The sequence below is a fragment of the Homo sapiens genome, chromosome 10 (assembly GCF_000001405.40).
Source record: "Homo sapiens chromosome 10, GRCh38.p14 Primary Assembly".
Lineage (NCBI taxonomy): Eukaryota > Metazoa > Chordata > Mammalia > Primates > Hominidae > Homo > Homo sapiens.
In genome coordinates, this window is record NC_000010.11 from 122,208,768 (window position 1) to 122,222,155 (window position 13,388).

Below are 13,388 nucleotides of genomic sequence, written 5' to 3' on the forward strand. Positions count from 1 at the left end.
ACACATTGGAAACGCTGTCCCAGGTCTTACCTGTGCCAGCTCCGTTTACTCCTCATTCTGCATCTCCCAGTACTTAGGCCTGCAGACCGCTTTATCGTGTTTGCCCTCTTGTCCAATGACACACTTTTAGTTTTCTGGCATCCTTGACTGCCTGGAGCAGCTGTGACCTCAGAAATGCATGAAAGATGCCGCTGGGTGCCAGCAGAACCTAGAGTAGCCAAGCCAAAGCTGGGGCTGGCCGGATCCCCATGGGCAGTAGGGTGGTGGCACCTTTGAGCATCATTTGGCCAACATTTGCAGCATCTGCAGCATGTTTGGGAAATAGGAGCAACCTCCTTGACTGGCAGGGGCTGATGAGGTAGAAAAGCTGAGAGGAGGCAGCTGGGAGAGCAGTGAGACTAGGCAAGAGGCAGGGCCAAGGATAGGCAGGCAGGACTGAAGGAGAGGTTACAGGTGATGGCTGGAGCGGCAGGTGGCAGACAGCAAGTGCTACTACAGGTGCCGGGGGCCTCCGTGTACAGGCTCCCCTGATCTTCACAGTGGCTCTGAGGAGTCAAGAACAGGCTTGCTGGTGGCCGTGGCTAGTATGAATATTTATGGAAGCCTCCGTATGCCTTCCTGCAGGATTTCTCTGTCTTCCTGTCCCACTCTTGACCCTTGCTTTAGCCACACTGGCCTCCTCGCTGTTTCTGTAACGCACCAGGTGCTCCTGCCGCAGAGCCTTTACTCGCACTATTCCTTCTACCCAGGATGCTTCCTCCCCAGGAGTCCTCCTGTTTCATGCACTTACCTTGATTCTGGCCTTTGCTTAGATGTCTCCTCAGAAGATCTTGCCTGACTACCTTATTTTAAAAGTGAAACTCTCCTATCCCGGCTTTATTTTTCTCCTTAGCATGTATCACCCTCTGAAATTCTGTACATTGTTTGTTTGTTTTTGAGACAGAGTCTCACTCACTCTGTCACCCAGGCTAGAGTACAGTGGCGCAATCTCGGCTCTCTGCAACCTCTGGCTCCCAGGCTCAAGCGATTCTCCTGCCTCAGGCTCCGGAATAGCTGGGATTACAGGCGCTCACCACCATGCCTGGCTAATTTTTGTGTTTTTTTAGTAGAGACTGGGTTTCACCATGATGACCAGGCTGGTCTCAAACTCCTGACCTCAAGTGATCTGCCTGCCTCGGCCTCCCAAAGTGCTGGGATTACAGGTGTGAGACACCATGCCCGGCCCTGGTGGTTTATTCGCTATCTTCCCCTGAAGAATGTGACTTCCAGGAAGGGAAAGGTTTTGTCTATTTCTGTTCCTTGTTGAATCTCTAGTACCTAGAACCATGTCTGGTCCTGATTAGGCACTTGGTGAATGTTTTTGAATGAATACTCTGAGCTGTTCTTTAATCGGTCCTCATGATCCTCATTGTACAGATGAGGGAACTCTGGGCGAACCTGGCCTGGGTCTTGAGCTAATTACGGGTAGGTCAGGTTCTGTACCCAAGTAGTACACACAGTGATGGGCGGGGTGGCCTGGGGCCGTGGTTTGTCAACCCCTACGCTGGAGGGTGATGTTTTGGTACAAGAGGAGAGGTGCCCCAATGCGTCCTGTGTCTGTAATTGATGGCGTTGTCTGTGTTTCCCCAGGATGTGGTTCTGAGACAGTCCCTGTCCCTGATGGCCCACGGAGCGACTCGGTGGAAGGAAGTCCCTTCCGTCCCCCGTCACACTCCTTCTCTGCCGTCTTCGATGAAGACAAGCCGATAGCCAGCAGTGGGACTTACAACTTGGACTTTGACAACATTGAGCTTGTGGATACCTTTCAGACCTTGGAGCCTCGTGCCTCAGACGCTAAGAATCAGGAGGGCAAAGTGAACACACGGAGGAAGTCCACGGATTCCGTCCCCATCTCTAAGTCTACACTGTCCCGGTCGCTCAGCCTGCAAGCCAGTGACTTTGATGGTGCTTCTTCCTCAGGCAATCCCGAGGCCGTGGCCCTTGCCCCAGATGCATATAGCACGGGTTCCAGCAGTGCTTCTAGTACCCTTAAGCGAACTAAAAAACCGAGGCCGCCTTCCTTAAAAAAGAAACAGACCACCAAGAAACCCACAGAGACCCCCCCAGTGAAGGAGACGCAACAGGAGCCAGATGAAGAGAGCCTTGTCCCCAGTGGGGAGAATCTAGCATCTGAGACGAAAACGGAATCTGCCAAGACGGAAGGTCCTAGCCCAGCCTTATTGGAGGAGACGCCCCTTGAGCCCGCTGTGGGGCCCAAAGCTGCCTGCCCTCTGGACTCAGAGAGTGCAGAAGGGGTTGTCCCCCCGGCTTCTGGAGGTGGCAGAGTGCAGAACTCACCCCCTGTCGGGAGGAAAACGCTGCCTCTTACCACGGCCCCGGAGGCAGGGGAGGTAACCCCATCGGATAGCGGGGGGCAAGAGGACTCTCCAGCCAAAGGGCTCTCCGTAAGGCTGGAGTTTGACTATTCTGAGGACAAGAGTAGTTGGGACAACCAGCAGGAAAACCCCCCTCCTACCAAAAAGATAGGCAAAAAGCCAGTTGCCAAAATGCCCCTGAGGAGGCCAAAGATGAAAAAGACACCCGAGAAACTTGACAACACTCCTGCCTCACCTCCCAGATCCCCTGCTGAACCCAATGACATCCCCATTGCTAAAGGTACTTACACCTTTGATATTGACAAGTGGGATGACCCCAATTTTAACCCTTTTTCTTCCACCTCAAAAATGCAGGAGTCTCCCAAACTGCCCCAACAATCATACAACTTTGACCCAGACACCTGTGATGAGTCCGTTGACCCCTTTAAGACATCCTCTAAGACCCCCAGCTCACCTTCTAAATCCCCAGCCTCCTTTGAGATCCCAGCCAGTGCTATGGAAGCCAATGGAGTGGACGGGGATGGGCTAAACAAGCCCGCCAAGAAGAAGAAGACGCCCCTAAAGACGTAAGTTCAGGGGTGGAGGTGGTAAGGATCAGAGGCGGGGGTGCGCATTGGCTGTGACCCTTGGTCATGTGCCTGGATAACCTTCGACTGCCCTAACCTTGCCCCTGGGTGCTGTGATGATGCCACGCTTACGGCCGTTGCACCAAGCAGACAATGTACGTGTTTTCCTTCCTCTCTGCGGTCACAGTGGTGGCATTTTCCCATCCACATACCCCTTTGTGTCCTTGATCTTTTGCTTTAATAAATCAATGGGCTGGAGCTTTACTTGTAGCCAAAGACCTAATGTTCAACTCCAGAGCAATCTGGGAGATCCCATGGAAGGGGAAAGGTCCTTAGAGATCTGGTTCATCTCCCTGTTGGTGACTGATTGCTTTTTGGAGAAGCTGGGAGATACACCCTTTAAAATATTAAAATGTATAGTACTTGTTTCTGCCTATTAATGAGACATTAGCCCAACCTACAAACATAGTAGATTCCAGGAGGCTCAGGAATGAGAGATGTGGCCTGGGCCCCTCCCTGCTGCACTCCAACCAGCCCGTAAGAAACACCCTTCTTTGTCTCCTTCCTTCTCTCCAGTCATCTTTTGTAGACAAAGTCCCTGCAAGTTCTGAAGAGATAAATGGAACCTGAAAGTGGGGAGCAAATCCCCACAATCCCCAGGAAGCCATTGGTCCTTGGCTCTATGGTCCCCAGACACTTGACAAGGCCAAGTACATCGTGCTTAAATATCAAACACCCATGCCTCCAGAATCCACCCCAGGACCCGGCTCTAATGTGGATGGCTGCTGGTCCTTTATTCTTTGGCCCCTGTGGTTAATATCTTGGCGATTTCCTTACTCTTACGGGAAGTATTGTCAGTAATTTAACAAGGCTGAGGAGATCAGTCTCCCAGGGGCAGCAGAACAGACCACAGCGCTGGCCCCTCTGGGTCTGCCTGGCACGAAAGAGACAGAACGACATGTTTACCTCCCATTCTGGGCTCCCCCTAACATTGAATTTCTGAGAAGAACCCAGGGCCTCCTGAGAGGAGGTCTCTACAGCAGGTTACCTTAGATCAACCTGCCACTGTCTAGTGGTGGCTGGAGGCCATCCTGGCCAAAATGGGGACTTTGTTTTAGATCAGTTACTCAACTAGGTCCCTACTAGAGACTCTCTAGAATTCACGTTGGAAACTTGATTTCAAGCCTGGAATAGGAGAAGTCTGCAATGGCTAGACTGCAAGGCCGTGCTCTCTCATCTGGAATGAGAGCCAACCTTAGCCGCCACCTCTTCCTTCTCCAAGATATGTTCTGTGTCTCATAGGCGTCCCCAGTCACTTTCTTGTTTGAATATTAGAGCTAACAGGGGTCAGGGAAGTTTACCCAACTGTGTCCTCACCTCTAGTGCAGACAGGGACTTTGGCGTGGAAGACCCTGCGTGGGTCTGACAAAGCTCTTGGGGCACCACGGCTTTGTGGGATCATTAGGATCAAGAGAGGAAGCTGTTCCCCAGCAGCTCCTTCCAAAAAGCTGGGGCATTGCCCTACAGCGGTGGCCGCCATATCCTAACCCATTAATAACCAGTTGTCTGCAGATTTATCTTTTTTGTCAGTTCCTTCTGTCTGTCTCTCTTTTTCTTTGTCTTCTTGTCTTAGGATGGTTGAAGATGTGATGTCTGTGTGTTCTCTGTTGTAAGTAAATTTAATGCAATCTGCCTCTTATGCCAAATGTGCTTATTTTTCTGCCTTTTGTTTCTGCTTCCAAGCCATTTTTATTTCCCCTCTGGCTGCTACTGATGTGTTTCTGTGGTGGGCCTGCGAATGATGGGGCATGGGGCTCCCCAGTAGCAAAGATTACTTTTCTGTTTCATAGTGATTTGCATAAGAGACTGCTTGGCTGTGAAAATGTGATTATCCAGCATCTGCCTGCTTATCAGGAATGGAACTTTTTTCCTTCCCTTGCATATTGGATGTCTTCATCTGAAATCAAACATTTTTTTTAAACTCTTCATTACATTTTTTCATTTTAAACTGGGCTAGTGGGCGATTGCTTTCAACACTACTGTGGCTTCACGTTAAAATAACTGTCTGGTCTAACCACAGGCAGCGACGGCCACAGCTTATTCTTGCTAACATGTAAAGCAGAAATATTTGGGCCGTTCCAAATTGAGGCCCACAGAGTGCCCTGAAATGCAGGGTCAGTGCAGAGTGGAGCACACAGCTGTGAGAGCCATCGCCAGGCTGCCCCAGTCCTGCATCCTCAGTCACCCAGGACCTGGCTGGGTGTCGGCATGCCTTGTCTGCCATCTGTGGGTCACCCTGCCACTTGTCAGTAGAAACAGAGCTGACCATTTCTGTGCCTCTGCTGCTTTGCCTCCCATGGCCAGGAGGGATCTGTGGGCAGCTCGGGGGGGTCCAAAGACATGCAACTTTTCCCTGTCCTTAGAAGGGAAGCCGGCCAGTCCAGGTGGCCAGCAGTCCCAGGATAGGGTCGAGTCCATCAGACTCTCTTCTGCCCAAGGGATTTCTTGAGTATTTTTGAGCCACTTAGCAACTATAAAATATATGGTTATATATTTATATGCATGAATAAATATATGCTTCAAGCTGCGATTGCACTGTTTTAATGGCAAATATTATAAATGCTGTAAATAGCCATTTATTTTTTTTTCATGATTAAATGCCATTGTTGGAGTGATTTGAGAGAACACAAGGAAGGAACTTGAATGCCAAATTGCTCTGCCCACCCAGTTAACATGCAAAGCAGGGGAGGGTGGTGGGATCTAAGGAGAGGGATCACCCCCCAAAGCCTTTGCTTTGCTGGGAGTGGGACCAACCCATGGAGGGGCTGGAGACGGGGCAGGGGCCAGTCTACAGGGTGGAAAGAGCCCCCATTCTGACTGTGGAAGTGACCCCCAGACTGCTCGGTGGACTTAATGGAACTGCTCAGGCTAAAAGGCATCCCTTTCTCCTGGGATCTGCTTCCTTGACCCTTCAGGAGTCTGATTTGGTGGTTTCCTTTGCCTCTCAGCCCCGCTATTCATATGGAGGAGAAAAAGGGAGAGAAGAGCTGTGAATCTTGTCTGTTTACCATGGTTAGGAGAAGACAAAAAAAATCATCTCTCCCCTGGCCCTACCTTTAGTCAGGATTCCACCTAGAAGCCTTCAGAGCATGGGAATCCATTGAGCTCAAAGATCCTGTGATAGGGAGGATTCAGGAGGTTCTCCTTGAGGACCCCGAACTTTCTATTTCTGCGTGGCCCCCTTCAGTTGTTCATTAAGTGAGGTGTCGCCTTGCCCGTCTGTAAATTGGTGTCCTGAGCCTAGAGCCCCTCCCCTAGCCTTAGTTGGGTTCAGATACCCCTGGAAGAATCCAGATAAATTAATCTGCTCACCAGAAATTTGCTTTATAAAATACGAACATTTAGTTAAATTTAGCTTCATTTTCTGGGTCATTCTCCAAAATGGCATCTCTTTAAAGATCTCCAGCTTGATGGATCTTTCCCTTGGGGGCAAAAATAATAGCTGTTAAAAAGTGAGAGTGGGTAGCCGGCGTGGCCTCTCGCTGGTGCTGGAGTGACAGAGGTGGGAGGGTGGCCTGGGCCAGATGGCTCCGCAGAGGCAGTAGCTTCGGTCCGCTCTGTACTGCTCTGGAGTGTTCCGTCCCTCTGCTTGTTGTGTTTACGTTTTCCATTTTGTTTCCAGTGACACATTTAGGGTGAAAAAGTCGCCAAAACGGTCTCCTCTCTCTGATCCACCTTCCCAGGTACAGTGTTCCTTTGATCTTGATGGTTTTATGCCCCCCCCGGGGGAGGTTTTCTTCGCTTGTTGACAAAGCTTTGCTTTCTGCTCATCCCGGGCCTGTTTCCAAGACCCTCTTCTTGCATTCTGTGTGGAGGGTCCCTCGATGTTTGCTTCACATTGTTTTGGTCCCTTCACTTTGCGGAAGATCAGAGTGTGTCCCGAGAGTGGGAAGACGTTCAGGAAAAACATTAGTTGGGCTCTGGAGGACCCACTCTGCTCCATTCAGGCCAGTTCATCTGCTGTGAACTTCTAGGACTGTCGAGATGAGAAAGTCTCTTGAGATGAACAAATATGCAGTGAGAAGGTGAAGAAACTCAGCAAGTGTCAGGAGCACTGAATTGTGCAGCCAAAATTGGAGTGGGAAGAAAAGGGAAGCCCCTCCCCTAAAGAAGTGGGGCTTAGGTTCTGTCTTGATTAGAGTCCCTCTTACCAGTTCCTCCATCAGATAGATTCCATTTCTTCTACCCTGTTTACAGACCAAGGAAAGTTATCGTCAAGCCTGTCAGTATGTTAGGGCTAATTTCTGGGTCATAAAACAAAACAGACCTGCCACCCCTCCAAATCTGAGCCAGCAAAGCCCCAGCCTGCAGACCCTGGCCAGAGTGGGGGCAGTGGAGGGAAGCACTCAGCCCTGGGGATAGGGGCTCAGGTCCCAGCTGCAGCTCTGTCCTGACCTCTCTAGGTTCCCACCCTGCCCTACTCCACTTCCCACTCTCCAGTGGAAATGGAGATAAGATCCCCCTTTTTCTGCCTCCAGGGACTGATGAGATGCTTGTCAGGTGATTCTGGTGATATTGATGTGCAGGCCTGAAGCACTGTGTGAGCCTCGCACAGCAGTCACAGTCGTAAAACTAGCAGGAATGCTCAAGTAACTAAGACACAAAATCCTGATTTTTTTTTTTTTTAAATTCATGGTCATTCCCTGAAACAAACCATCATAAAAGGAGATTCATAGAGGGAAGAATCTGTGTGTCCATCTGTTTCCTTAATGGACCATTTGGAGCAGAGTCTGAGAAGAGCATGCAGAGGATTGTGACCGGGACCTGTCCTGGCTAATGGGTCCCCAGACCTGAGGGTGGGCACAGTTTCTGACCAAGAGTCTGATGAGACAAGAAACAGTTTCTCTTCTCTTTGCAGGACCCCACCCCAGCTGCTACACCAGAAACACCACCAGTGATCTCTGCGGTGGTCCACGCCACAGATGAGGAAAAGCTGGCGGTCACCAACCAGAAGTGGACGTGCATGACAGTGGACCTAGAGGCTGACAAACAGGACTACCCGCAGCCCTCGGACCTGTCCACCTTTGTAAACGAGACCAAATTCAGTTCACCCACTGAGGGTAAGCAACTCTGTAGCCAGCTGGACCCCCACTCTGCCTCGGAGAATCCTGCCCCTAGGGAGCCAAAGGCCAGGAGAGAAACTTCTCAGCCAGGTAACCACGTGATCATCATTGTGAGATCGTCTGCACGTCTCCCGCTGCACTTGCAGCTCAGGCTGTGTTTGAAAACAGCCTGAGACTTGAAAGCAGCTGTCCCTTGACCCAAGACTCCTGCTAAGAGCCAGCACGGTGCCCTCTAACTCCACCTCAGGACTCCATCGAGTGGGTCCTGAGCGCCCACTCGAGCTTTGCCCATGGCTTATGTCCCCTCTGTGATTTTGATAAACACAGCTCCAAGGGAGTGTCATTCAAGTCAAACTCTCAGTGTAGGTCACTGACCTGGACTCGCTTGGTGCCACCGTTATTCCTAGGCCCCATACTGTGTTCAGACACTATGGCCACACCTTTTAATGAAGCCTCAAACCAGAGATTCACCCCAGGCTTGCTGAGAGGGCATGATTCCCTCCTCAGAAATGGGCAGAAATGGGCTCCGGACAACTTTGCTTATCTCAATATCCTTCCTCCTATGTATATTCAATTTCAGTGTTTTTTCTTTTTCTTTCTTTTTTCTTTTTTTTTTTTTTTTTTTTTGAGATGGGGTTTCACTCTTGTCCAGGCTGGACTGCAGTAGTACGATCTTGGCTCACTGCAACCTCTGCCTCCTGGGTTCAAGCGATTCTCCTGCCTCAGCCTTGCGAGTAGCTGAGATTACAGGCGCGTGCCACCACCCCCGGCTAATTTTTTGTATTTTTAGTAGAAACGGGGTTTCACCATGTTAGCTGGGCTGGTCTCTAACTCCTGACCTCAGGTGATCTGCCTGCCTTGGCCTCCCAAAGTGCTGGGATTACAGGTGTGAGCTACCCCATGCTTCCTTTTTGATAGGAAAACCTTTTTGAAGGAGAGCTAGCACCTTTCTTGGGAGGGATGACCCCATTGCCCTGACCTGTTGGTGCACCACGTTCCCAGTCCTCCAACCCATTTTCTCCTCCAGCCACCTCTGTGAGGCTGCCCAGTTGGCATTTTGACACTCCAGCTTTTGTGATGGTTTTGAGTTTTCCTTTCTCGATTTCTAACAATTTATTTTATTATTTTTTTGAGATGGAGTCTCACTCTGTCGCCCAGGCTGGAGTGCAATGATGTGATCTCGGCTCACTGCAACCTCCGCCTCCTGGGTTCAAGCGATTCTCCTGCCTCAGCCTCCTGAGTAGCTAGGATTACAGGTGCGCACCACCACGCCCAGCTAATTTTTGTATTTTTAGTAGAGGCAGAGTTTCACAGTGTTGGTCAGGCTGGTCTCAAACTCCTGACCTTGTGATCTGCCCACCTCGGCCTCCCAAAGTGCTGGGATTACACGTGTGAGCCACCGCGCCTGACCGATTTCTAACAGTTTTTTTGAACTGAGTAGAAATCACTGTGAAGAAGATCACATGTGAAGGTCTGGTCTCCACTTTTTGCTGCTAATAAGAGACTAAGATCTCCTTTAAACGGCTTCCTCCCTGTCTGAGTGGAGTGGTGGTGTCATGAGGGTGCAGGTAGATTTTAATCGTAACTCAAAAACTCCCAACCTTCTTCTGGACGCTCTTCCACAGTCAGGCCCGGAGGCATGGTTTGCTTTGTGCCCACGAGGTCTTGGAATGGTACCAGCATGCAATTATGGTAGATCTATTTCATGTTTTTCAGAGTATTGGATGCATATCTTCTCCCTACCCAAAACTGCCTTTCTAAATTTGACAATGAAAAGATGATCCAAATTATGTATACTTGTACCTTTTGGCATTTTGTTTTCTGTAAAATAGAGCCTTTTGGTTGGCTGTCAGGTTGGCCCTCTGGTTTGGGGTTTGAGAGGTCCGAAAGTGACCATCTTGGCCAGGCACAGTGGCACACACCTGTAATCCCAGCATTTTGGGAGACTGAGGCAGGCAGATCACATGAGCTCAAGACCCAGGTGTTCAAGACGAGCCTGGGCAACATGGCAAAACACTGACTCTACCAAAAGTACAAAAAATTATCTGGGCATGCTGGTGTGTCCCTGTGGTCCCAGCTGCTCAGGAAGCTGAGGCGGGAGGATTGCTTGAGCCCAGGTGACAGAGGTTGCAGTGAGCTGAGATTGTGCCACTGCACTCCAGCCTGGGTGACAGTGAGACTCGTCTCAAAAAAAAAAAAAAAAAGAAAAGTGACCATCTTGCTCTCCCCTGACCCCAGAGGCCCTACGATCTGGCCTCAGCCTCCTTTGGATCCTTATTTCTCTCTGCACCTGCATCCGAGGCAGGAGCCTGTTCCCGGAACACCCCTCACTCAGCTGCCTCTGCAGTGCTGCTGTAGACCCCGCCTGCTGGAACACCCTTCCCCCCACCCTCACTGCACTCCCCCCACCTCATCCCTGTTTCACACCCTTTCCTTAGTGCTAGCCCCTCCCAGCCTTTCCCTGGAATTCCGCTCCTGGCTCTGCCCGCCTTCAGTGCTTGATCTGGGCTGAGCTGGGGATATGAAACACCGTAATAATGATGTGTGTGCATTTCTTGCTTCCCAACTAGCTTGTATGTTTCCTGAAGGCAAGAACTTTGTCAGGTTCATCTCTGTTCCTCACAGCACCCTCAACGTCGTAGGGGCTAAAGACAGGTTTGTGAAATAATGGTAACACAAGGTCAGGCAGGTCAACAGCTTAGTAATGTCAGCTCAGCAATTTGATCCTGCAGTGGGCATCACCTGCGTCAGATGTGGAGCACTGCGGGGAAGGTGCTTTATGTTCCAGAGGCAGCAAGGGACATCTGAGCACAGGCCTCAGACTTGGCCATTTTGATAGCACCTATGGTGGGTTACATCTCTTGAGCTTGGTAAGAGATTTCTAAATATCGGAGAAAAGCATTTAGAAACCATCCTGAGGTTGGGGCCGGGCGTGGTGGCTCACACCTCTAATCCCAGCACTTTGGGAGGCTGAGGCAGGCAGATCACTTGAGGTCAGGAGTTTGAAACCAGCCTGGCCAATATGGAGAAACCCCATCTGTAGTAAAAATACAAAAATTAGCTGGGCATGGTGGTGGGCACCTGTAATCCCAGCTACTAGGGAGGCTGAGGCAGGAGAATCGCTTGAACCCAGGAGACGGAGGTTGCAATGAGCCAAGATCATGCCCCTGCACTCCAGCCTGGGTGACAGAGTGAGACTCTGTCTCCAAAAAAAAAAAAAGAAAAAAGAAAGAAGCCAACTTGAGCTGGACATATGATTTTGATATGTGTGTGTCTTTAGTTTTACCATCAGGAACCAAATACATGCATTTTTTTTTCCTTAGGAAATATAAAAATACTAACAGTACTTTTAGGGCTAATATATACCTCATTCAATGGTGGCATTTATTTGTCCATCTTCTACATTGTACTAAAACAGACAACTTACTAGCTGAGTGACATATTTGACAGTTGTTTTTTTCTGTAAAAATTGAACAAATATGTAAATATATGGGTTTGGAACAAAACTTGGTTAAACCCATTACCTTAGAAAATGGGAAGATTTGGGAAGTCATGACTATAATTTAAGCTGGTAGACAATAAAAAATCCATTAATGTGAAGACACAACAGTTGCAGTTTCAGGAGGTGTGGGCCCCACTGCATCCACCTCGCTAACACACCCAGGGTCCCCCCAGCATCTGGACGTGGAAATACCATTAATGTAATGAGGTCCAGTCTAGCAGCACCAGACACACACCCAGGGGTGCTGATGTGATTGATCGTCAGAAAGAATCCGTGTGGGGCGGGGCCCCAGCTGTGATGTGAGACTTACACTAAAGTCACCAACCACAGGAAAAGGAAATGTTGGGTGAGAAATAATAATTATGATTTAAATACATATTCACTATCATTAATTCTATAGGTAACAATAATAAGCTAGGGCCTGTCATTGGGTGAGGACTTACTTTGAGCTGTGCAGAGTCTTTTACATTCATGATTTCATTTCATCCTCTCAGTCTGCAGAGTGCTTTTCTACAGTTCCCCATTTTAGGAACAAGGATACAGAGGCTTGGAGCTGTTAGTGACTCCCCCAGTGTCCTGGCACAAATCCGTGGAGAGCCAGGTGTGCCTGACTTAACAGCTGTGCTCTTTATGTGAGCATGGAACAGGCTTGCTGCCTGCGTCTGTAGAATGAGGCTGTTGACCTACTCACACTTTCCTACCTAGGTCCATAGGAGCAGAATGTTGCAGAGCTTCAAGTTGTCTTTAATATTTCAAAACACCTGAATGTAACTAGGTTAGAAAGATGCCCAGGGGATTAAAATACCATATTTGGGCTGTAATTGTATCAACTCACTAGGATGACACTGGTCATCTTCCACGGATGAAGAACTCATTGACAATTATAAATGGTTTTCTTTGCGTGGTTGCTTAGTAAATGCCCTTTTTTGGTGCAGTCTTTTAAAGCGTGATGCAGTGGGAGAAAACTTAACCCATGTAGTCCTTGTGGAGGAAAAGATTAGGAACTATTGGTCTACACAGCTGAGTCCTCTCCTGGCTGTCCAAGAGACCCTGACAGAGTGCAGTTGTTTTAGATTCAGAAGTCTCAGTGACTCTTTGGTGGTCACCCAGTTGCCCTGTGTCCTTTAACACAGCTCTGTTAGTCCCTCCTTCCCACTCTGACAGAGGGGAAAGTGCCCTCCTTGGAAGCCTCAGCTGTTCTTTAACGGCAGGCGCCGTCTCTGTCACACTGCAGACACTTAGAAGGGTGACGGTGGGGAAGCTGGGAGCAGCCTCCCTGTCTCTTTCCCTGGACTCTTTTCTTCTCCCCTAATATAATGTCACTTAGGTTAAAAGTTCCAGAAATACTAGCCATGAGCAGGAATATATCTGATCATGCTCCTTTACATTTGTGTTACCCATCGAAGGGTTTTTATCTTAAAGTATTTCATTTTAGCCTACAAAATATAAGCACTTTGAGCTCCACTTGGAAGATAAGTCAATAGGCAAGGAGATATCAGGCGAGTTGGCTTCCCTGATCCTAGCAATGGAGACCTGGACTCAGTGGCATCCTTCTGGCTTCTGCATGGGGCTCTTTCCTGTTCCTAGCAAGCCCCCAGCAATTAGAGACAGACGAAAGCAGCATTGAAGGCCCCTCGCTGTGCAGTGCCCCCATATGAAATAATTACCAAAAGCAGCCCTCAGAAACGACAGGACCCGTGAACGATGACTGAGCCTCTTCAGCTAGGAGCAGCCACACACGTTAGCAAGGACCATCTCCTCCAGTTGAGAATATGATGTGCCACTTGGTGTGGTGACATCACCCTTCCTGGCCTGCCAGCTG

General features: G+C 49.4%; 1 protein-coding gene across 55 annotated transcripts in view; it reads left to right on the top strand.

The window, feature by feature from the left end:
• The window catches only part of TACC2 (transforming acidic coiled-coil containing protein 2), a 265,380-nt gene that overhangs the window by 219,605 nt on the left and 32,387 nt on the right, over positions 1-13,388 (top strand). For 22 of the 55 annotated variants that reach the window (NM_001291877.2, NM_206862.4, NM_001291876.2 and 19 more), the window contains 3 exons: positions 1,630-2,941; positions 6,624-6,684; positions 7,860-8,061. In NM_001291877.2, coding sequence (NP_001278806.2) covers positions 1,630-2,941; positions 6,624-6,684; positions 7,860-8,061 — 1,575 coding nt within the window. Of the gene's footprint in view, positions 1-1,106; positions 1,203-1,629; positions 2,942-4,574; positions 4,611-6,623; positions 6,685-7,859; positions 8,155-13,388 lie in introns of all 55 variants that reach the window. The other 33 variants (XM_024447756.1, XM_024447761.1, XM_024447760.1 and 30 more) reach the window with 6 other exon arrangements.